This window comes from Homo sapiens, chromosome X (genome assembly GCF_000001405.40).
Source record: "Homo sapiens chromosome X, GRCh38.p14 Primary Assembly".
Taxonomy (NCBI): domain Eukaryota; kingdom Metazoa; phylum Chordata; class Mammalia; order Primates; family Hominidae; genus Homo; species Homo sapiens.
Window position 1 is genome coordinate 75,464,206 of NC_000023.11, and position 23,459 is coordinate 75,487,664.

The 23,459-nt window shown below is 38.0% G+C and overlaps 1 protein-coding gene across 14 annotated transcripts in view; it reads right to left on the bottom strand.

The window, feature by feature from the left end:
* Positions 1–23,459, bottom strand: part of ZDHHC15 (zDHHC palmitoyltransferase 15) — a 154,611-nt gene that overhangs the window by 95,779 nt on the left and 35,373 nt on the right. For all 14 annotated transcript variants that reach the window (XR_001755658.3, XR_938393.3, XR_007068181.1 and 11 more), the window contains one exon: positions 14,686–14,780. Coding sequence is in view for 9 of the 14 variants with exons in the window: in NM_001146256.2 (NP_001139728.1) it covers positions 14,686–14,780 (95 nt within the window). In the remaining 5 variants the exon portion in view is untranslated. The remainder of the gene's footprint in view (positions 1–14,685; positions 14,781–23,459) is intronic.

Genomic DNA, 23,459 nt, shown 5'->3' on the forward strand with positions numbered 1-23,459 from the left:
ATTCTCACTCATAGGTGGGAATTGAACAATGAGTATACTTGGACAGAGGAAGGGGAACGTCACACACCGGGGCCTGTTGTGCGGTAGGGGAAGGGAGGAGGGAAAGCATTAGGAGATATACCTAATGTAAATGACGAGTTAATGGGTGCAGCACACCAACATGGCACATGTATACATATGTAACAAACCTGCACGTTGTGCACATGTACCCTAGAACTTAAAGTATAATAAAATAAAATAAAATAAAAAATAAACTCACAAAAAATAAAAATAAAAACTGCTACCTCCTGCTTGTTAAAACAAAAAAAGAAAACATCAGGTCAATATCCTTGATAAACATTGATGTAAAAATCCTCAATAAAATACTGGCATAATGAATCCAGCAGCATATCAAAAAGCTATTCACAACAATCAAGGTGGCTTCATCCCCAGATACAAGGTTCATTCAACATATGCAAACCAATAAATGTGATTTATCATATAAACAGAACTAAAGACAAAAACCACATCATTATCTCAATAGATGCAGGCCTGTGATAAAATTGAACATCTCTTCATGTTTAAAACTCTCAATAAACCAGGTATTGAAGGAACATACCTCAAAATAATAAGAGCCATTTATCACAAAGCCACAGGTAATATCATACTAAGTGGGCAAACCTGGAAGCATTTCCCTTGAAAACTGGCACAAGATAAGGATGCCCTCTCTCACCACTCCTATTCAACATATTATTGGAAGTTCTGGCCAGGGCAATCAGCCAAGAGAAAGAAATAAAGGGCATTCAAATAGGAATAAAGGAAGTCAAACTATCCTTGTTTGCACATGACATGATCCTATATGTAGAAAACCCTATTGTCTCAGCTCAAAAGCTTCTGAAGCTAATAAGCAACTTCAGCAAGGTCTCAGGATACAAAATTAATGTGCAAAAATCGCTAGCCTTCCTATACATCAACAACTGGTAAGCAGAGAACCAAATTATAAATGAAATCCCATTCACAATTGTCACAAAAAGAATAAAATACCTAGGAATACAGCTAACAAGAGAAGTGAAAGACTTCTTCAAGGAGAACTACAAACCACTGCTCAACAAAATCAGAGAGGACACAAACAAATGTAAAAACATTCCATGCTCATGAGATAGGAAGAATCAATATCGGGAAAATGGCCAAACTGCCCAAAGTAATTTATGGATTGAATGCTATTCCCATTAAACTATCACTGGCATTCTTCAGAGAATTAGAAAAAGCTATTTAAAAATTCGTATGGAACCAAAAAAGAGCCTGAATAGCCAAGACAATCCTAAGAAAAAAGCTAAAGGCACCATGCTACAGACTTCAAGCTATACTACAAGGCTACAGTAACCAAAACAGTATGGTATGGGCAGAAGAACAGACACATAGACCAATGGAACAGAAAACAGAACCCAGAAATAAGACCACACGCCAAAAACATGTGATCTTTGACAAACCTGACAAAAACTAGCAATGGGGAAAGGATTCCCTATTTTGTAAATGATGCTGGGAGTGCTGCCTAGCCATATGCAGAAAATTGTAACTGGCCCCCTTCCTTACACCTTATATAAAAGTTAACTCAAGATGGATTAAAAGACTTAAGTATAAAACCTGAAACTGTAAAAACCCTAGAAGAAAATCCAGGCAATACTATTCAGGACATAGGCACAGGCAAATATTTCATGATGAAAACACCAAAAGCAATTGCATCAAAAGAAAAAATTGACAAATGGGATGTAATTAAAGAGTTCCTGCACAGCAAAAGAAACCATCATCAGAGTGAACACACAACCTAAAGAATGGGAGGAAAGTTTTACAATCTCTCCATCTAACAAAAGTCTAATATCCAGAGTCTATTACACAAGGAACTTAAATTTCTAAGAAAAAAACAAACAACCCCAGTAAAAAGTGGGCAAACGACATGAACAAACACTTCTCAAAAGAAGACATAGATGTGGCCAAAACAAACATGTAAAAAAAGCTCAACATCACTGATTATTAAACACAAATCAAAGCCACAAAGAGATACTATCTCACGCCAGTCAGAATGGCTATTACTAAAAAGTCAAAAGCAACAGATGCTGACAAGGTTGCAGATAAAAGAATGCCTTTACACTGTTGGTGGGAGTGTAAATTAGTTCAATCATTGTGGAAGATAGTGTGGCAATTCCTTGAAGACCTAGAGCCAGAAATACCATTTGACCCAGCAATCCCATTACTTGGTATATACCCAAAGAAATATAAATTATTTGAGTTTAAAGATACATGCATTAATTGTAAGTTTCCTGAGGCCTGCCCAGCCATGTGTAACTGTGAGTCAATTAAACCTCTTTTCTTTAAAAATAAATAAATAAATAAATAAAGATACATGCATGCATATGTTCATTGCAGCACTATTCTCAATAGCAAAGACATGAAATCAACCTAAATGTCCATCAATGATAGACTGGATAGAGAAAATGTGGTACATATACACCATGGAATATTATGTAGCCATAAAATGGAAGGAGATCATGTCCTTTACAGGGACATGGGTGGAGTTGGAAGCCATTATCTTCAGCAAACTAACACAGGAACAGATAACCAAACACCATACGTTCTAACTTATAAGTGGGAGCTGAACAATGTGAACACATGGACACAGGAAGAGGAACAACACACACTGGGGCCTGTTAGGGGTGGGGGGAGGGACAGCATCAGGAAGAGGAGCTAATGGATGCTGGGATTCACACCTAGGTGATGGGATTATCTGTGCAGCAAAGCACCATGGCAAACATTTACCTGTATAACAAATCTGCATATCCTGCACATGTACCCCTGAACTTAAAATAAAAGTTTAAGACAAAGAAAAAAACAAAAGTCAATAAATTGATATTATAAAACAGTAGCTAAATGAACTAAATACTGCAAAGTAATATGAAAAACAACTGGTTATTTTGTTTACTTAGAAGAACAGTTATACCAGTTAAGACAAAATTATAAGGTTTTAAAAATTCTTTTTAACATTATAATTAAAAGTAGCACCTTGTGGTGGCACTTTAATTTCTGGGATGTCCTTGGGAATATAACTTCCTTATAGTACACTGCACCTACTTGAAAGGCACAGGAAGAGGATTTTCTATTTGTATGTGATAAATATCTCATGTCTACTTAACAAACTGGCTTTTGTTTGGAATAAGATGTCAGGCCTGGATGCCCTAATTCTGGCACTAACAAGCCTTATTGAAAACTTATAATACAGTGAGCCAGTAAATGCATTTTGGATGAGGCAATTGATGATAGATTGGGATGTACTTGGGTATTAAAGAATGTAATACTGTGGCTATTAAATTGGCCCAATGTACTCTCCTTTTCTTTTTACACGTTAAAAATAATAAAGATGTGGTCTTAAGTGTTAGATATTTGTAGTGGATGTCTAAATTCTGTCATCATCTCACCCAGGTTAGGGCTATGAAATTCCCAAACAATCAGACTTTCTACTGGCCTACAAGCTTCATAAGGTGATGACGACAGTCATTTTTATTTAGGCAAAATTCACATAACATAAATTCCATTTAAAGTGTCCATTTTATAGTGTACAATTCAGTAGCATTTAGTACAGAGTGTTGTGCAACCATTACCGCTATCTAGTTCCAGAAGAGTTTCATCTCCCCAAAAGGAAACACCATACCTAATAACAGTTATTCTCCATTTCTCTCTATCCCCAGAGCCTGGGAACTATTAATTTGAATTCTGTCTCTATGGATTTGCCTTTCTGGATATTTCACATAAATGTAATCAAAACTATGTGGCCTTCAGTGTCTGGTGTCTTTCAACTGGCATAATTTTTTTTTTTTTTTTTTTTTAGACAGAGTTTTGCTCTTTGTTGCCTAGGCTGGAGTGCAATAGCACAATCTCGGGTCACCACAACCTCTGCCTCCTGGGTTCAAGCGACTCTCCTGCCTCCGCCTCCCGAGTAACTGGGATTACAGGCATGCACCACCATGCCCGGCTAATTTTGTATTTTTAGTAGAAACGGGGTTTCTCCAAGTTGGTCAGGCTAGTCTCGAACTCCCGACCTCAGGTGATCCGCCTGCCTCGGCCTCTCAAAGTGCTGGGATTACAGGCATGAGCCACGAGCCCAGCCCTGGCATAATGTTTTCAAGGTTCATCCGTGTTGTACCATGTATCAGTACTACATTCCTTTTCATGGCTGAATAAAATTCCAGCCAGCATATGGACATACAACACCTTCATTATCCATTTATTCACTGATGAAAATTTGGACTGTTTCTACCTTTTGGCTATAGTGAATAGTGCTGCTATGAATAGTTATGTATAAGTACTTGTTTGAACACCTGTTTTCAATTATTTTGGGTATGTATCTAGGAGTGGGATTTCTGGGTCACATGGTAATTATATATTTAACTTCATGAAAATTTGCACAGCTGTTTTCACATCAGTCATACCATTTTACATTCCTAGTAGCAATGTATGAAGATTCTGATTTCTTCACATCCTCTCCAAGAGTTATTATTTTTCATTCATTCATTTATTTAATTTGGCTATCCTAGTAGGTATCTATCATGGTCTTGTTTGCAATTCTCTAGTAACTAATGATGTCAAGCATCTTTTCTGTGCTTTTTGGCTATTTGTATATATTCTTTGGAGACATGTCTATTCAAATCCTTTCACCAGTTTTAAATTTGGTTGTTTGTTTTCTTGTTGTTTATTTGTAGAAATTCTTGATATATTCTGAACACTTGACACATCAGATACATGACTTGCAAATATTTTCTCCCATTCTTTGGATGATCATCTCACTTTCTTGATAGTGTTGTTTGATGTACAAAAGGCTTTTTTTTTTAACTTTGATGAAGTCAAATTTATCCACTTTTTCTTTTATTACTTGTGCTTTTGGTGTCATATCAAAGAATTCATTGCCAAATCCAAGATAATAAAGATTTTCCCCTAAGTTTTACTCAAAGAGTTTTGTAAGTTTAGGCCTTACATTTAAGCATTTGGTCCTTTTTAAAATAATGTGATAAATATGTGTAATGAAATTTAACCATTTTAAATTATATAGTTCAGTGGTATTAAGTACATTCACATTACTGTTCCACCATCACTACCATCCATCTCCAGAACTTTATTCATCTTCCCAAACTGATATTCTATACTAATTAAATAACTCCACATTTCCCTCTCCTCCCAGTCTTAGCAAAGACCATTCTACTTTTTCTCTGTGAATTCGTCTACTTTAGGTACCTCATATAAGTAGAATCATACATATTAGCCTTTTGTTACTGGTTTATTTCACTTAGTACGATGTCCTGAAGTTTCGTCCATGTGGTAGCATGTGTCAGAATTTCCCTCTCTTTCCAAAAGCTGAATAATATTCCATTGTATGTATATACTTGATTTTACTTACCAGTTCATTTGGGTTGCTTCCACCTTTTGGCTATTGTGAATAACACTATAAACATAGATATACAGCCATCTCTTTGAGACCTTGCTGTCAACTCTTTTGGGTATAAACCCAAAAGTGGAATTGCTAGACCCTGTGGTGGTGCTATTTTCAACTATTTGAGGAACCATTATACTGTTTTCCATAGCAGTTACACCATTTTACCATTCCCACCAACAGCCTTCAAATGTTCCAATTTCTTTACATCTTCACCAACACTTGCTGTTTTACAGTTTTTTTTATAGTAAGCCTTTTAAAAAAGATTTTAATAAAGGGTGTGAGGTGGTATCTCATTGTTTTGATTTGCATTAATCTAATGATTAACGATATTCAGCATCTTTTCATGTGCTTCTTTGTGATGGTTAATATTGAGTGTCACCTTGATTGGACTGAGGGATGCAAAGGATCCTGGGTGTGTCTGCAAGGCTGCTGCCAAAGGAGATTAACATTTGACTCAGTGGGATGGGGAAGGCAGACCCACCCTTAATCTGAGTAAGCACCATCTAATCAGCTACCAGCGAATATAAAGCAGGCAGGAAAACGCGAAAAGACTAGACTGCCTAGCCTCCAAGGCTACATCTTTCTGCCAAGCTGGAGCCTTCCTGCCCTCGAACATTGGACTCCAAGTTCTTCAGTTTTGGGACTCGGACTGGCTTTCCTTGCTCCTCAGCTTGCAGATGGTCTATTGTGGGCCCTTGTGATTGTGGGAGTTAATACTTAACAAACTCCTGGAGTTTCATGGCTTGTGAGAGGCGAGGAGTTTAGTGACTCTATACATAATACCTTTGACCATATGTGGAGAACCAAGGAACATAATCTTTCTCCCATCCTTCCCCAAAGAAACATGTGGCCTTTTACCAGGGTAACTGCACTGGGGAAAGGGAAATGATCAGACATTTTGGGAACTACTGGACACTGGCTCTGAGCTGATGATTCCAGGCAAGCAAAAATGTCATTACGGTCCTCCAGTTAAAGTAGGTGCTTATGGAGGTCAGGTAATTAATGGAGTTTTAGCTCAGGTCTGATTTACAGTGTCTGGTGTCCAGTGGGTCCCCGGACTCATCTTGTGGTCATTTCCCCAGTGCCAGAATGCATAATTGGCATAGACATACTTAGCAGCTGGCAGAATCCCCACAATGGCTCCCTGACTGATAGGGTGAGGGTTATTATGGTGGGAAAGACCAAATGGAAGCCATTAGAGCTGCCTCTACCTAGAAACACAATAAATCAAAAACAGTATCACATCCCTGGAGGGATTGTGATTAGTGCCACCATCACAGACTTGACAGATGCAGCGGTGGTGATTCCCACTACATCCTCCTTCAACTCTCCAATTTGGCCTGAACAGAAAACAGATGGATTTTGGAGAATTACAGTGGATTATCGTAAGCTTCACGATGACTCCAATTGCAGCTGCTATAACAGATGTGGTTTCATGGCTTGAGCAAATTAACACATCTCCTGGTACCTGGTATGCAGACATTGACTTAGTAAATGCCTTTTTCTCCATTCCTGTCCATAAGGCCCACCAGAAGCAATTTGCCTTCAGCTGGCAAGGCCAGTAATATACCTTTATTGTCCTACCTTAGGAGTATATCAACTCTCTGTCTTTGTGACATTATCTTATTGGGAGAGACCTTGATCGTTTTTCGCTTCTGCAAGATATCACACTGGTCCATTACATTGATGACATTATGCTGATTGGATCCAGTGTGTAAGAAGTAGCAAATACACTGGACTTATTGGTGAGACAATTGCATGCCAGAGGATGGGAAATAAATCTGACTAAAATTCAGGGACCTTCTACTTCAGTAAAATTTCCAGGGTTCCAGTGGTGTGAGGCCGTCAAAATATTCCTTCTGAGGTGAAGGATAAGTTGCTGCATTTGGCCCCTCCTACAACCAAGAAATTAGCACAATGCCTAGTGGGCCTATTTGGATTTTAGATGCAACACATTCCTCATTTGAGCATGTTACTCTGGCCCATTTATCGAGTGACCGAAAAGGCTGCCAGTTTTGAGTTGGGTCCAGAACAGGAGAAGGCTCTTCAACAGGTCCAGGCTGCTGTGCAAGCTACTCTGCCACTTGGGCTATATGACCCAGCAGATCCAACAGTGCTTGAGTTGTCAGTGGCAGATAGGGATGCTGTTTGGAGCCTTTGGCAGGCTCCCACAGGTGAATCACAGCAGAGGTCTCTAGGATTTTGGAGCAAGGCCCTGCCATCTTCTGCAGATAACTACTCTCCTTTTGAGAGACAGCTCTTGGCCTATTACTGGGCTTTGGTGGAAACTGAACGATTGACTATGGGTCATAAAGTCACCACGTGACCTGAACTATCTATCATGAACTGGGCACTCTGTGACCCATCTAGCCATAAAGTTGGTTGTGCACATCAGTATTCGATCATCAAATGAAGTGGTATATACGTGATCATGCTCGAGCAGGTCCTGAAGGCACAAGTTACATGACAAAGTAGCTCAAATGCCCATGGTCTCCACTCCTGCCACCTTGCCTTCTCTCCCCCAGCCTGCACTGATGGCCTCATGGGGGGTTCACTATGATCAATTGACAGAGGAAGAGATTACTAGGGCCTGGTTCACAGATGGTTCTACACGAAATGCAGGCACCACCCAAAAGTGGACAGCTGCAGCACTACAGCCCCTTTCTAGGACATCCTGGAAGGACAGCGGTGTAAAGAAATCTTCCCATGGGGCAGAACTTTGAGCACCACACCTGGTTGTGCACTTTGCATGGAGGAAGAAATGGCCAGATGTGCAATTATATACTGATTCATGGGCTGTAGCCAATGGTTTGGCTGGATGGTTAGGGATTTGGAAGAAGCATGATTGGAAAATTGGTGACAAAGAAATTTGGGGAAGAGGTATGTGGATGGACCTCTCTGAGTGGTCATAAACTGTGAAGATATTTGTATCCCATGTGAGTGGTGACCAACGGGTGACTTCAGCAGAGGAGGATTTTAATAATCAAGTGGATAGGACGACCTGTTCTGTGGACATCACTCAGCCTCTTTCCCCAGCCACCCCTGTCATCGCCCAATGGGCCCATGAACAAAGTGGCTGTGGTGGCAAGGATGGAGGTTATGCATGGGCTCAGTGATATGGACCTCCACTCACCACGGTCGACCTGGCTATGGCCACTGCTGAGTGCCCAATTTTGCCAGCAGCAGAGACCAACACTCAGCATTCAAACTGGCACCATTTCTTGGGGTGATCAGCCAGCTACCTGGTGGCAGGTTGATTATACTGGACTTCATTTATTAGGAATGGGCAGAGGTTTTTCCTCACTGGAATAGATACTGACTCCGAATACAGGTTTACCTATCCTGCACACAATGCTTCTGTCAATACAATACATGGACTCATGGAATCCCTTATCCACCATCACGGTAATCCACACAGCACTGCCTCTAACCAATGCACTCACTTTACGGCTAAAGACGTGAGGCAGTGGGCTCATGCTCATGGAATTCCCATGTTCCCTATCATCCCGAAGCAGCTGGATTGATAGAACAGTGGAATAGCCTTTTGAAATCACAATTACATGTCAACTAGGTGACAATACTTTGCAGAGCTGGGGCATAGTTCTCCAGAAGGCCGTGTATGCTTTCAATCAGCATCCAATATATGGTACTCTTTCTTGCATAGGCAGGATTCATGTGTCTAGAAATCAAGTGGTGGAAGTGGAAGTGGCACTACTCACTATCACCCCTAGTGATCCACTAGCAAAATTTTTGCTTCCTGTTCCCACAACATTATGTTCTGCTTGCCCAGAGGTCTTTGTTCCAGATGGAGGAACATTGCCACCAGGAGACACAACGATTCCATTAAACTGGAAGTTAAGATTGCCACCTGGACAGTTTGGGCTCCTCCTACCTTTAAGTCAACAAGCTAAGAATGGAGTTATAGTGTTCCCTGGGGTGACTGACCCAGACTATCAAGATGAAATCAATTTATTACTCCACAACGGAGGTAAGAAAGAATATGCATGTAATACAGGAGTAGAAGGTGGTCATCAATACCAGCTACAACCATGTGACCAGTTGCAGAAACAAGAACTATAATTATCATGAGTATTTCCTCCTTCTTTTCTTAAAAACATATTTGTGCATGTATACACTCGTACTAAGAAAATATCTTCCATTTCCTTTTTCCTTTATCATGTGACATAAGATTTATTGACTTCATATCAGCATTTAAGTATTGTTAACTTTATGTAATAGCATTTGGTTTGGGTATTGGTGCGTTTCTGTTGTACAAAGGATAGTTGTATCATGTCAGGCATAATTATGACCTTATTATTGTCTTGATTTGAAGATTATGTATGGTCTCAGGAGATGTGTATGGTTTCAACTTGACAAGGGTGGACTTGTGATGGTTAATACTGAGTGTCAACTTGATTGGATTGAAGGATGCAAAGGACTGATCCTGGGTGTGTCTGTGAGGGTGCTGCCATAGGAGATTAAGATTTGAGTCAGTAGGCTTGGGAAGGCAGACCCACCCTTAATCTGGATGGGCACCATCTAATCAGCTGCCAGTGAATATAAAGCAGGCAGAAAAACGTGAAAAGACTAGACTGGCCTAGCCTCCAAGCCTCGATCTTTCTCCTGTGCTGGACCTTTCATGCCCTCAAACATCGGACTCCAACTTCTTCATTTTTGGGATTCAGACTGGCTTTCCTTGCTCCTCAGCTTGCTGATGGCCTATTGTGAGACCTTGTGATTGTGTGAATTAATACTTAATAAACTCCCCTTTATATATATATATATACACACACACACACACACACACACATATATGTACTTTTATTATACTTACACTTTTATATACTCCCATATGTGTGTATATATATATATATAATCCCCTTTATATATATATATATAATCCCCTTTATACACACACACACACACACACACACACACACACACACAGTTAGTTCTGTCCGTCTAGAGAACCCTGACTAAAATATTCCTGATCATTGAGGTATCTTCTTTGGAGAACTGTCAAGTTATTTACCCATTTTAAAACTGATCTGCACATATAACCCTTGAAACTAAAATAAAAATTGAAATTATTTTTTAAAAATAAAATGAGTTGGCCGGGCGCGGTGGCTCATGCCTGTAATCCCAGCACTTTGGGAGGCCGAGACGGGTGGATCATGAGGTCAGGAGATCGAGACCATCCTGGCTAACACGGTGAAACCCCATCTCTACTAAAAAAAATACAAAAAATTAGCCAGGCGTGGTGGCGGGTGCCTGTGGTCCCAGCTACTCGGGAGGCTGAGGCAGGAGAATGGCGTGAACCCGGAGGTGGAGCTTGCAGTGAGCCGAGATTGCGCCGCTGCACTCCTGCCTGGGCGACAGAGCGAGACTCCGTCTCAAAAAAATAAATAAATAAATAAAAATAAATAAAAAAAAGTTTTTTGTTTAGCTGTAGGTTTTAAATATTCTGTATAATAACTGTTTATCTAACATATTACTTATATTTTCTGCTATTCTGTAGGCTGCCTTTTCACTCTGTTAAATGTATCCTTTGACATATGAAAATTTTAAATTATGATGTAGTCCAATTTATGTATGTTTACTTTTTTACAGTGTCATATCCAAGAAATTCCCAAACCAATGTTATAAAAATATTCCTCTGTGGATTTTTTTTCTAAGTTTTATAATCCTAGCTCTTAAGTTTAGATCTTGGATCTATTTTAAGTTAATTTTTATATATGGTGTGAGGTAAAGGTTCTACGTCATTATTTTGGATATGGACATCCAGTTATCCCAACACCACTTGTTGAAGACTGTGCATTCTCCATTAGAATGCTTTTAGCATGGTTGTTGAAGATTTCTGACCAAATATGCAAGTGTTTGTTGTTGGGCTCTTTATCCTATTCCATTGGTCTACATATCTGTCCTTATGCTAGTACCACATTGTTTTGATTACTGTAGCTTTGCAGTAAATTCTGAAATCAGGAAGTGTGAAGCTACAACTTTGTTCTTTTTCAAGATTGTTTTTGGTATGTGGGATCTCTTGATATTCCATATAAATTTTAGAAAATGACTTTTTATTTCTGCAAAAAAAAGATCATTGGGATTTTGATATAAATTGCATTAAATCTATAGATTGATTTGGATAGTATTTACGTTTTAACAATATTAACTCTTCCAATTCATGAATACAGGATGCTTTTCCCTTTATTCATGTCTACTTTCTTTCAGTGACATTTTTTAGTTTTCACTTTAGAAGTCTTTCACTTTTTTGGTTATGTTTATTCCTAAGTATTTTATGTTTTTGGTGCTATTATAAATGAAATTGCTTTTTTAGTTTCCTTTCAGATTGTTCATTGTTAGTGTATCAAAACATAATTGGTTTTTGCGTGATGTGGTGATTTTGTATCCTGCAACTTTGCTGAATTCATTTATTATTTATAATAGGGTTTTACATGTGGAATATTTACGGTTTTCTATATGTAAGATCATACCTACAAACAGAGATAATTTTACTTCTTCCTGTTCAATTTCAATGTCTTTTATTTGATTTTCTTGCCTACTTGCACTAGCCAGAGGAAATGTTTCTTATTTTTTTTTTTAAGAAATTTGGGAAGGATTGATGTTAATTATTCCTTAAATATTTGATAGAATTCATCTGTGAAGCCATCTGGTCCTTGGGTTTTCTTTGTTGGCAGGTTTTTGATTACTAATTCTATATCTTTACTTGTTAAAAGTCTATTCAGATTTTTTATTTCTTCTTGAGTCAGTTTTGGCAGTTTGTGTCTTTCTAAAAGTTTTTCCATTTCATCTAGGTTATCAAATTTAGGGGCACACAATTCTTCATATTATTTTCTTATAATTCAATTTATTTAAAGTTGGTAGTTACATCTCCACTTTCACTTCTGATATTAGTAATTTACGTCTTCCTTTTTTCCTCCCTCCTTCCCTTCCTTTGTTCCTTCCTTCTTTCCTTTCTTCCCTCCCTCCCTTCCTAATATAAGTAATTTGTGCCTGTACTCTTTTTTATGTTCCTTTCTCCTCCCTTCCCTCCCTTCTCCTCTCCTCCTCTTCCTCCCCTCCCTTCCCTTCTCTCCTCTTTTCCCTTCTCTTCCCTCCTTCTCTCCTTTTCAGTCTAGCTAAATAAAGGTTTGACAATTTTGTTAACCCTCAGTTTTGGTTTTGTTGGGTCTCTGTATTATTTTCTATTCCTCATTTTGTTTACTTCTGTTCTAATCTTTATTATTTCCTTCTGATTACTTTGGTTTTAGATTGCTATTTATTTTATGGTTTTTTAAGATGAAAAGTCAGACTATTTTGAAATTTTTATCCTTTTTAAATGAAGGTACTTACAGCCATAAATTTTTTTCTGAGCACTGCTTTATTGCATCCCCTAATTTCTGTTAAGTTTTTTCTTGTTTTCATTCATCTCAAAATATTTTCTAATTTCCCTTATGCTGTCTTATTTGATTCATTTGTTAAGCATGTGTTTAATTTCCACATATTTATGAAACTGTAGATTTCTTTGTGTTATTGATTTGTGGTTTCATTCCATCACAATCAGAGAAGATATTTTGTGTCTTTTAAATTTATTGAGTCTTGTATTATGGCCTAATATATGGTCTATACTGGAAAATGTTCTGCGTACACTTAGGAAGAAAGTACATTTTACTCTTTTTGGGTGATCTATATAGGTGTGTTACATGTAGCTGGTTTGGTGTTGTTCAAATCCTCCATTTCCTTATTGACCTTCTGTTTAGTTATTGTATCCATTATTGCAAGTGGGGTATTGAAGTCTCCAACTATTACTGTGTAACTGTTATTGTGTATTTTTTTCTTTACTTCTCTCAGTTTTTGCTTCTTATAATTTGGGGCTCTCTTATTACACACATATATTTTATAACTGTCACATATTCTTGATAAATTGACTCTTTTGTAAATATATGTCCTTCTTCGTCTCTTGTAACATTTTTTTACTTAAAGAGTCTTTGTTGTATGATATTAATATAACCACCCTTGCTCTGTTTTGATTACTATTTACTAGTGATATCTTTTTCTAGCTTTACATTTTCAACCTATTTATGTTTCTGGTTCTAAAGTTAGACTTTTGTAAACAGTATAAAGGTAAATCACAATTTTTTATCCATTCTGCCAATTTCAACCTTTTAATTGAATAGTTTAATCCATTTATGTTTCAAGTAATTACTTATTATGAATAACTTCTGTCATTTTACTCTTTATTTTCTTCATATCTCATATCTCTTACATTCCTCAATTTCTACATTGTTGCCTTTCTCTGTAGTTAACTTTATTTTTCTTGTGCACCATTTTGGCTTCATTAAGGAGACAGTATTTTTCCTAATGTTCGGAGGCTGGAAAGTTTCCCTATTGTTCTTTTACTACTTTGGAACCTACCCTAATTTAGAGTAGTTACACATTACAAATGCCTGATATAATCACAAATTATTTCATGAACCTTTAAAAATATTGCATGAAACACTCGCATTTAAGGTAACACAGTCTGAAAATGATTTATTTAACTATTGTGCTTTTTTCTCAGAGTTGTATTTCAGAGTCTCACTGGAATGAAATAACAGCACTAAATAAATAAAATAATCACTGGTACTAAAATAGTAGTTTCATAGAATTGAATTAGATGAGGCCTCAGAGTCCAAGTGGGTTCTTGTTTTCTAATTATATCACCAATGCAGGTAGTGGTTTCCTACTCTTTTTAAAATTTGAGACAGGGTCTTACTCTGTCACTCAGGCTGGAGTGTAGTGGCACCATCACAGGTCACCGCAGCCTCAAACTCCTGGGTTTAAGTAATCCTCCTGCCTCTGCCTCCTGAGTAGCTGGGAACACAGGTGTGCTCCACCATGCCCAGATAATTAAAAAATTCTGTGTATTGACAGGGTCTCACTTTGTTGCCTAGGTCTCAAACTCCTAGCTTCAAGTGATTCTCCCACCTCAGCCTCCAAAATTGTTGGGAATACAGGTGTGAGCCACAGCACCCAGTTGGCTTCTTAGTATTAAAGATATCCAGAGCTGGTGATTTCACAAACTCCTTCAATAGCCTATCCTACCCTCAATTCACCTTTATCACTAGGAGTTCTTTAAGATTACCCTGACTCTTTCGTATTATTTACTCCTCTTTTTGTCCTCTTCTTGCTTTATTGTCACTTCTACTTTTTTCTGTTCTTATCCTTTAAGAAGTAACCAATATTCTTACCTTCTGGTTTGGCTGCTGTGGGAGTGTAAAGATAGACTTCCAGTAGGTCCAGGTAAAGAACACAAAGATGGCATGGTAGAGTATGAGGTAAATAACTGAAATAAAAAAAAAATCAGTGTTTATACTATCTTTTTATCCATTTCTAAGAATTCAAAAATACAAAGCTCCATGACGAATTTTTATTGTTTTCTTATTAACATGTATTCTCTGGTATTATTATGAAGTGTTAATTTTATTTTCCCATACAGTGACAGAAACAAGCCATAATGACAAACCTGAAACAAAGACATTCTGCAAGTTGCACACCTTAAAAGTTGCCATGTCATTCTTGAAGGGGGAAATGTCCTTTATGACAATGTAGGGAAAACTACTTCAGCCAATTGTCATTATCTTTGCTACTTTGAGTACTGAAAGGTGATAATGACACAATTTACACAGCACTTTAGAGTTTACAACATGCTTTCACATATATTATTTCATTTTATTTTCTCAATAAATTTGTAAGATAGGTAATAAGATAGGGATAGTCGATTAACTACCAGAGGTAGTTGATTAACCAAAGTCACACAGGTAGTCTATAATGTAGCCAGGTGTTAAAGACTAAACAGTTTTTTTCTTTTAAAAAAGTTTGTATAAATTCATGGAGTACAAGGAAAATTTCGTTACATGCATAGGTTGCACAGTGGTGTAGTCAGGGCTTTCAAGAGTATCTATCACTTGAATAATGTACATTGTACCTACTGAGTAGTTTCTTATCATCCACCCCTCTCCTACCCCCTCACCCATACCAGTCTCTATTATCTATCATTCCACAGTCTGTTTCCATATGTACACATTATTTAGCTTCCACTTATGAGTGAGAACATGAGGTATTTGTCTTTCTGTGTCTGAGTTGTTTCACTTAAGATAATGGCCTCCAGTTCCATCCATCTTGCTGCAAAAGACATGATTTCATTCTTTCTTATGGCTGAATAGTATTCCATTGAAGATTATATACTTTTGAAGTGTGGGTTGTACTTCTGAGACAGTTATAAAAGTGGCTCTCTACTACCTTTCTTTTCATACCCTTTGCCTTTTAGATAGCTCTTCTCATATGCGATATTTTGGTATTCTCCACAGAGGTGGTTATAAGACTGCAAGACTGTGAGTCCTTAAATGGTATGGTCTTATTACTTCAATCCGTCAGAAAGACTCAAGGGAATAATGACTCAAGACCAACTTAATAGGACTGAGCCTCTCATACATTTATAATTGAATTGAAAAAAAAAGAGACTCTACTCTCCTGGCTCAGTTCTCCCAGCCCTACAGGACAAGACCATTTATATGTGCTTGATTTTTGTAACTATGAAATCTCATTTTAAAATTCAAGCAATATAAAGTAAAAGGTAAATGTCCACCCCACACATACATCTAACTTCTCACCTCCCCATTCTAAGGCACAACACCTCTTTGGTGTTTGGTATGTATCATTCCAGATCCTCTTATTTGTATATGTTTATACAAACATATGTACACCACAAACATGAAAGATTTGTAATATTTTAACATTTTTAATTGTATCTCTTTTTAAAAGTAATATATTTATAAGTTTTAAAATCTGAAAGTATGGAATAGTATACAGTGAAAAGTCTTCCTTCTATACCTGTCCCCCAGCCACCCAGTTCTCCTCGCTGGAAGCAACCAACATCACAAAGCCATGACTTTGTTGTGTATCCTTTATGATTTTATACATATAAAATCACCCAAATAGTGTGTTTTTCCACAAATGGCAGTATTCGATACACACTGTTTTGTACCTTACTTCTTTTTCACTTACTATAAGTTACCATAATTTATTTAACCAGGCTGTCTCTGAGGAAAATTTGTTCTTCCCCCTTCTCTTGCTAATACAAATAATGCTTCAATGAATAATTTTTATATATGTCATCAGCACATGCACAAAAAATATCTATAGGATCAATTCTCTGAAGTGGAACTGCAAGGTCAAAAAGCATGTCTTTTTGTAGATACTGCCAAACTGCCATTAAGAATATTTGTATTTAATTTATATTCTCATCATCAATAAGTGAGAGCGCCTCTTCCATTGCCCTCTAGAATTCAAGATTTTTTCAAGAGTTGTGTCCAGTGTTTAGCTGGCTACCCCCTGGGAGTGTCTCTAGGCTAGCCTTTGTGAAGTGTTATCATACTTTTTTCTCTTAGGCAATGCCTTTAAATTTTTTTTTAATGTGTTATCTTTTGCAATTTTTTTGTTTCTTTGATTTTATGAGGTTTGTACGGGGAAAATTACATGACTAAGTTATGTTAACCCATGTTCCTTCAGTATGGGAGTGTGAAATCTTTGATTTTTAAAGAGATCAGGAGAAAACAATTTCATGTTTACCCTCTCATTATACACTTCAAGGGTAATGTGGTTAACCAATTTGGATCACCTGAGTGACTGAGCACTAAACTCCTACACTTGGCAGTATCTTAAGCACATTAACTGTATTTTTAATTCCAATGATTGAGATGGGAAGTGTGGGACTTTAACTTGTTCCAGGTACTACTACGCATCAACTGGTTCAATCACGGAATTGGAAACAGCTGGCTCCCATTCCTACATTACAAGGTTTCATAGAAATTATGGGTACTGTTAAATAAATCGGTAGAAAATGAAGGATTTTGAGGTTAAATGACTAAGTCGAGGTTATTCTATAAACCGGTAAAATAGGAACTATACCAATATTTTAGAGTAAGGTGAGACCATAGAGATCATTTGGTTCAACACTCTCATTTTACAGAGAAGTAACTGAGGCCCAGAGGGGCAAGTGATTTGATCAGAATTACCCAGCAAAGTTATGGAAGCAATGGAACCAGAATCCAAGTTTCTTCAGTCCCAGTCCAGAGTGCTTTTCCTCAGAGCAGTGATTCTCAAATTTCAGTCTGCATCAAAGCCACCCATAAAGGTTATTAAGATGCTGCAGATCAGGGGGAGGTTTGTCAGCCAGACGGTCACATCTCTCTTTGAGCCTAACACTTAGCAATAAAATGTTAATTCTAATATTTGAGTTCATTGCTTCACTTTACTTTCTCTGCTTTACAAACTCTAACAAAAAGCTAGACCTTGTTTTTCAGCTATTTGAAGGAATGAAGATAATGGTGTAAGACGCCCATAAGGTGTGCCCAAGATCTCATTCTTCATGACAGTACAAGAATTGCTCAAGAGTTGTTTCCCAATAGATGATGGAGACTACTGTGTTGGGGGGTGGGGAACAAGGGTTGAAAAACTACCTATTGGGTACTATGCTTACTATTTGGGTGATGGGCTCAATTGTACCCCAAATCTCACCATCATGCAATATACCCAGCTAACAAACCTGCACATGTACCCCCTGAATCTACAAAAAAAGTTGAAATTATTTTTTAAAAGAGTTGTTTCCATGATTTAGCCACCCTCTAGAATTCAAGATTTTCTCAAGAGTTGCATCCAATGTTTAGCTGGCTACCCACTGGGAGTATCTCTAATACTGGGATCAAATTCTGGTGCTAATACATGATATTACATTTTGAAATGGCTTAGTTTTCCTCATTGATATCCACTTCAAAAGTTAGGGTTGTCTTCCAGGTATCCTAATTTCTTCTAATTATCCATTAGGCATCTACTACTCATCAATTTACATAAACCTTCTATGAAGCTGGTTAGATTATCAGTCTATACCAATTCTTTGGGAGTAGTGAGTCTCATAAGTTTGCCAGCCACTATGCAAAGCAGGGCTTCATATTAGTTGTCTTAAACAGCATTGTTAAGTTTCAAAGAGCTTTCTAGTACTCATGTATTGGAATTTGGTGAATGACATCAAGCTACCAAAATATATAAACTTCTTATGTTTATAAGCTTTATTGATAGTCCCTTTCAGATTTTGTTTGTTCCATGCTGACGAGGTCTCTCCTTTTTGGTCTGTTTTGGGCGTTGAAGTGTCGTGCAAAATCCAATGGATTTGGAATCAGATGACTAGGTTTTGAACTCTGGATTTGCCCTTAATAACTATATGTCCTCGAGAAGCTGGTTAACCTTGCCGATAATCATAAGTGTATATATATGATCACATGTATGTATATGTGTGTGTATGTGTATATATATATATATGTATATATATACACACACATACATATATACATATATACACATATGTGTATATATATGTGTATGTGTATATATATATATATATATATGATTAAAATACCTGCTTGTCAAAGTTGTTGTGGTAATTAATTGGCTTAAATGTGTGAAAGTATCTGACATACTCTTAGGACTTAATAAACCTGTTTTCTTCCTCTCACTCCCTCTTAAATCTTAGTGATTTGTTTTCTGAGACATGGTGATAAAAATTACACAGATTTCAGGGGCAGATGAACCACGGGTTTGTTAAAAAAGAGAAAAAATGGGCCAGGCGTGGTGGTTCACACATGTAATCCCAGCCCTTTGGGAGGCTGACATGGGAGGATTGGCCTAGGCAGAAAAGTAAGACCCTATCACTACAAAAAAAATTATCTGGGCATGGTGGCAGATGCTTGTAATTTCAGTTACTTGGGAGGCAGAAGTGGGAAGATCACTTGAGCCCAGAAATTTGGGGCTGCAGTGAGCTATGATGTCACCACTGCATTTCAGCCTGGGTGATATAGTGAGAACTTGTCTCTAAAAAAATAAAAACTAAATTAAAAAAAGAAAATAGTTTATTTCTAGTCCTCTTGTTGATAACGCCTACCCACAAGTTTCATTGATTCATTGATCTTGGGGATAAGAAAGTACACAGGCCAATATGCCTTGGGGAATAATCTTTGGCTTCTTTCCTGGTTTAAAATGGATAGTTGAAATATCATTATTCTGCATGTATAATTTGGATTAAGTACTGCCCAATGCATTCAAATTGTCAGGGATATTCACAGAAGACTACACACACACACCCACCCACACACACACAAAGCAGAATCCCTATTGCCTATATGGTGGGTACGGATTTGTAAGCTAGTTCTCTGCTTGCTAAGGAAGTGGAAGGGATTCTACCAATCACAACGTGGTTCCCTCAGAATGTATTACCTTTTGTTGATGCAACCAATAATTCCTCTATCTCATTAATATGATGTTGACTTAATTTATGTTAATTTCACACATTTTCAGAGTTGGAAGAAAACTTAGATACCATTTGATCTAATGTATTAAGAAGATGCATCAATCTGCTGTACATTATCCCTAATAATTGCTTACTCAGCTTTTGGGAACACCTGAAGTAATGGAGGAACTTAGCTCCTGGAACAGTCTATTCTATTGTTGGAAAACTCCAATTGTTAGACACATTTTCCTCATATCAAGTATATATATACCTCCTCACAACTCCCTTCCATTGATTGTAATTTTGCTCCATGGGGAGGAATCAGATTTGTTTAAAAACAAAGAGACTTATACTCAGGCATTTAAAGATCTGTTATAGCTCAATAATAAGACAACTCAATAAAAAAAGGAAAAAGACTAAACAGACACTTCGCATTAGAAGATATACAGATGGCAAACAAGCACATGAAAAGATTAGTCATTACAGAAGTGCAAATTAAAAATCACAAGGAGCCTCCATTTCATACTTTATGGAATAGAATATAAGAAACTATCACCACCACCAACAAAAACAAACTTATAACACTAAATGATAATGAAGATGTGGAATAAGGAGAACTCTCATATATCAATTATAGGAAAGCAAAATGGTAGAACTGCTTTGGAAAACACTTTGGCAGTTTCTTATAAGGTTAATCATCCACTTACCATATGACCCAAGAATCCCACAGCTAGGTATTTACTCAAGAGAAACAAAAACATATATCTCCACAAAGGCTTATACATATATATTCTTATCAGCTTTATTCAAAATAGTTTCAAACTGGAAACAAACCAAATGTTCCTAAACTGGTGAATAAATAAGCAAACTGTGATCATCTGTAATATGAAATACTTCTCCGCAATAAAAACAAGTTACTTCATACACATACTCACAGATGAATCTTAAAAATATATGATGCTAAGTGAAGAAAGCCTAATACAAAAGGCTCCATACTGTATGATTCAATTTATATAACTATGGGAAAGGTAAAACTAAAGGGACAGAAAACAGATCAGCAGTTGTCAGGGATGAAGAGTGAGAGGGTTTCTTGTGAATGGGGTAAAGGGAATCATTTGGGGTAATATAAATATTCTGTAACTGTATAGTGGTGGTTTTTACATTCCTGTTTACTACTGTCAAAACTTATCAACCTGTATACTCAAAAATGGTGACACTGCATATAAATTATATCTCAATAAATCTGACAAAAACAAAGATCTAAAAATAGATATTTACCTTTGGTGTCTTTTCATCTTAGATTTTTTGACATTTGGCAAAAAAAAGATGACACATATTTATCTAACTTGACTTCCCAGTCTAATATTTTTATTTTCCTCAATAGTCATACTCAAATGTGTTAGGACTTACAGGCTATAGGATTGAAAGCTGTGTTGATAGGTACACAGCTATGGTGGGAAGCAAAATCATGACTCTAAAACCTACCATTGGCTGCACTGTGGTTGATGTTTCCATGTATATATATATATAATCATTTTGGCTCAATATACGCCCCACCATCAGTAACCTGATACAAGTGGAGACTGCAAGGCATGTTGGGAAAGGCAAAGGAGGATGGGAGGTCCAGCCCAGCCCACTGGAGAGAGACGTATTGAAGCATAGGAAAGGCAGAGCTTTGAAATGGTACATTTAGATGTAGCTATATCAAAAGCGACTTGTCAAAACGTAAAGGGGAAAAATCACTTAAAAAATTAAAACGTGATGTATACAATAGACACTACCAAAGCTCACTCCATCCGTAACTCTGTAGTGACTACTAACAACTTACGCTAAGTTATCCATTTCTGTATTACTTGCATTTTAAGACGTTCAAGTACTTTCATAATCAAGAAAAAAATAAGCTTCAGTTTTAAGTTGATCATTAATGGTTAAATAGAAAATTGGCAGACAGGAGACAAAACTAATGTGCAGCTCCTACTTGGACAGACAGAACAGCATCTGGTGACTCACATGGTGAACTTTTGCCCCAAGACCCACTGCAAGAACATACAAGGAAAACCAAAAAAAATCACAGACCCTTTGAAAGAAGCAGCTTGCTGCTGCAAATGCCATGAGACAGCTGAAAAACTGAGTTCCCAAAGTATGACACAGAGAAAAGTCAACCTCCAAACATACATCCCCACTGGGAAACCTGAAAATCCAGATCACCAGAGAAAGATTTAACCTTACGTAGAGCTGAAATGGATTTAGGGAGCCAAGCAAAATATAAAAGTCGAAGAAGCAGTGGGAAGGGCCCTATAGGCACTCATGGTCCCCAGCTCCAGCCCAGGGAAGCCATTCCTGGCTTTATCTCACAGAGGTCCCTGGGGAAGGGAAGGCAGCCAGCAAGAATTGTGGAGAGGCCACAGAATGAAAAAAGCTTCTAGCTGAACTCTGTAATAATTTCAACTGAGCATAAATTTTCATGAGCAGAAACCTGGTAGGGGGAAGTGATCAGAAAGCTCAGATATAAGCATAGAAGCCATAGCTGACCAGGTGGGCAGGCAGGCAAGGAGGGGTAAGGCCTGAGCCCTGCATGCTTTCTCACTGGGGAGGCTTGTAGCCTGGGGCAAGATCTCAGCCCTGCTCACCAGCTGCCTGGATATAAACGTGCAGTTGGGAGGTGGGGCAAAGCAAGAATGAGATTGGCCTTGCTGGCTGCATGGATGCTAGGTGAGGCCTGTCACTGCTGGCTTTCCCCCACTTCCCTGGCAACTTGTTTGATGCAGCAGACACAGCCATAATCCCCTGGGAACATAACTTCATTGCCTGAGAATCACCGCCCCTCCACCATCTCCCACAGTGGCTGCAGCAAGCCCCACCCAAGGAGAGTCTGAGCTCAGACTCACCTAACCTTGCCCCCACATGCTGGTTTTTCTTTAACTGCCCTGGTTGCCAAAGACAAAAGACATAAACTCCTGGGAAATCTATGGCACCACCTATCACCTGAAAAACGTGAGTACCCATCCTAGCCAATGTAGGGCAAGATTACATACCCTTCTACTACAGCAGAAGGCACTCTCTTCAAAGCACCACCTGCTGGAGGCCAGCCAACTCAAGCCATTACAGCAACTCATAACAGAACAACCCTGATCCAAAGAGGAGAAAACAACAGCTAATTCCATGTCCTACAACACCCTGGCTAACTAGAGGTCCTGAGTCTGTCCCTGTGACAACTTCACTGCTAGCATAACCAGTATTTGAAAAAAGCCAGCACACTAAACAAAAATATAAGCAAGGACTTCCACAGAGTCCACTTCACTCCCCTGCCACCTCCAGTGGAGCAGGTGCTGGAATCTATGACTGGGAGACCTGAAGATGGATCATATCACAGGACTGTTTGCAGACATTCCCCAGAAATAGCCTGGAGCCTGGTAGCCCCACTGGGAGGCTAGACTCAGAAGAACAATAAGAATCACTGAAGTCTGATTTGCAGGAAGCTGTATCCCTGGAGAAAGAAGGAGAGCACCACATCAAGGGATCACCCCATGGGACCAAAGAATCTGAAGATCAGCCCTTGAGTTGCAAATCTTTCCACTGAAACAGTCTACTCAAATAAGAAGGAACCAGAAAAACAATTCTGGTAATATGACAAAACAGGGTTCTATAATATCACCAAAAGATCACACTAGCTCTCCAGCAATT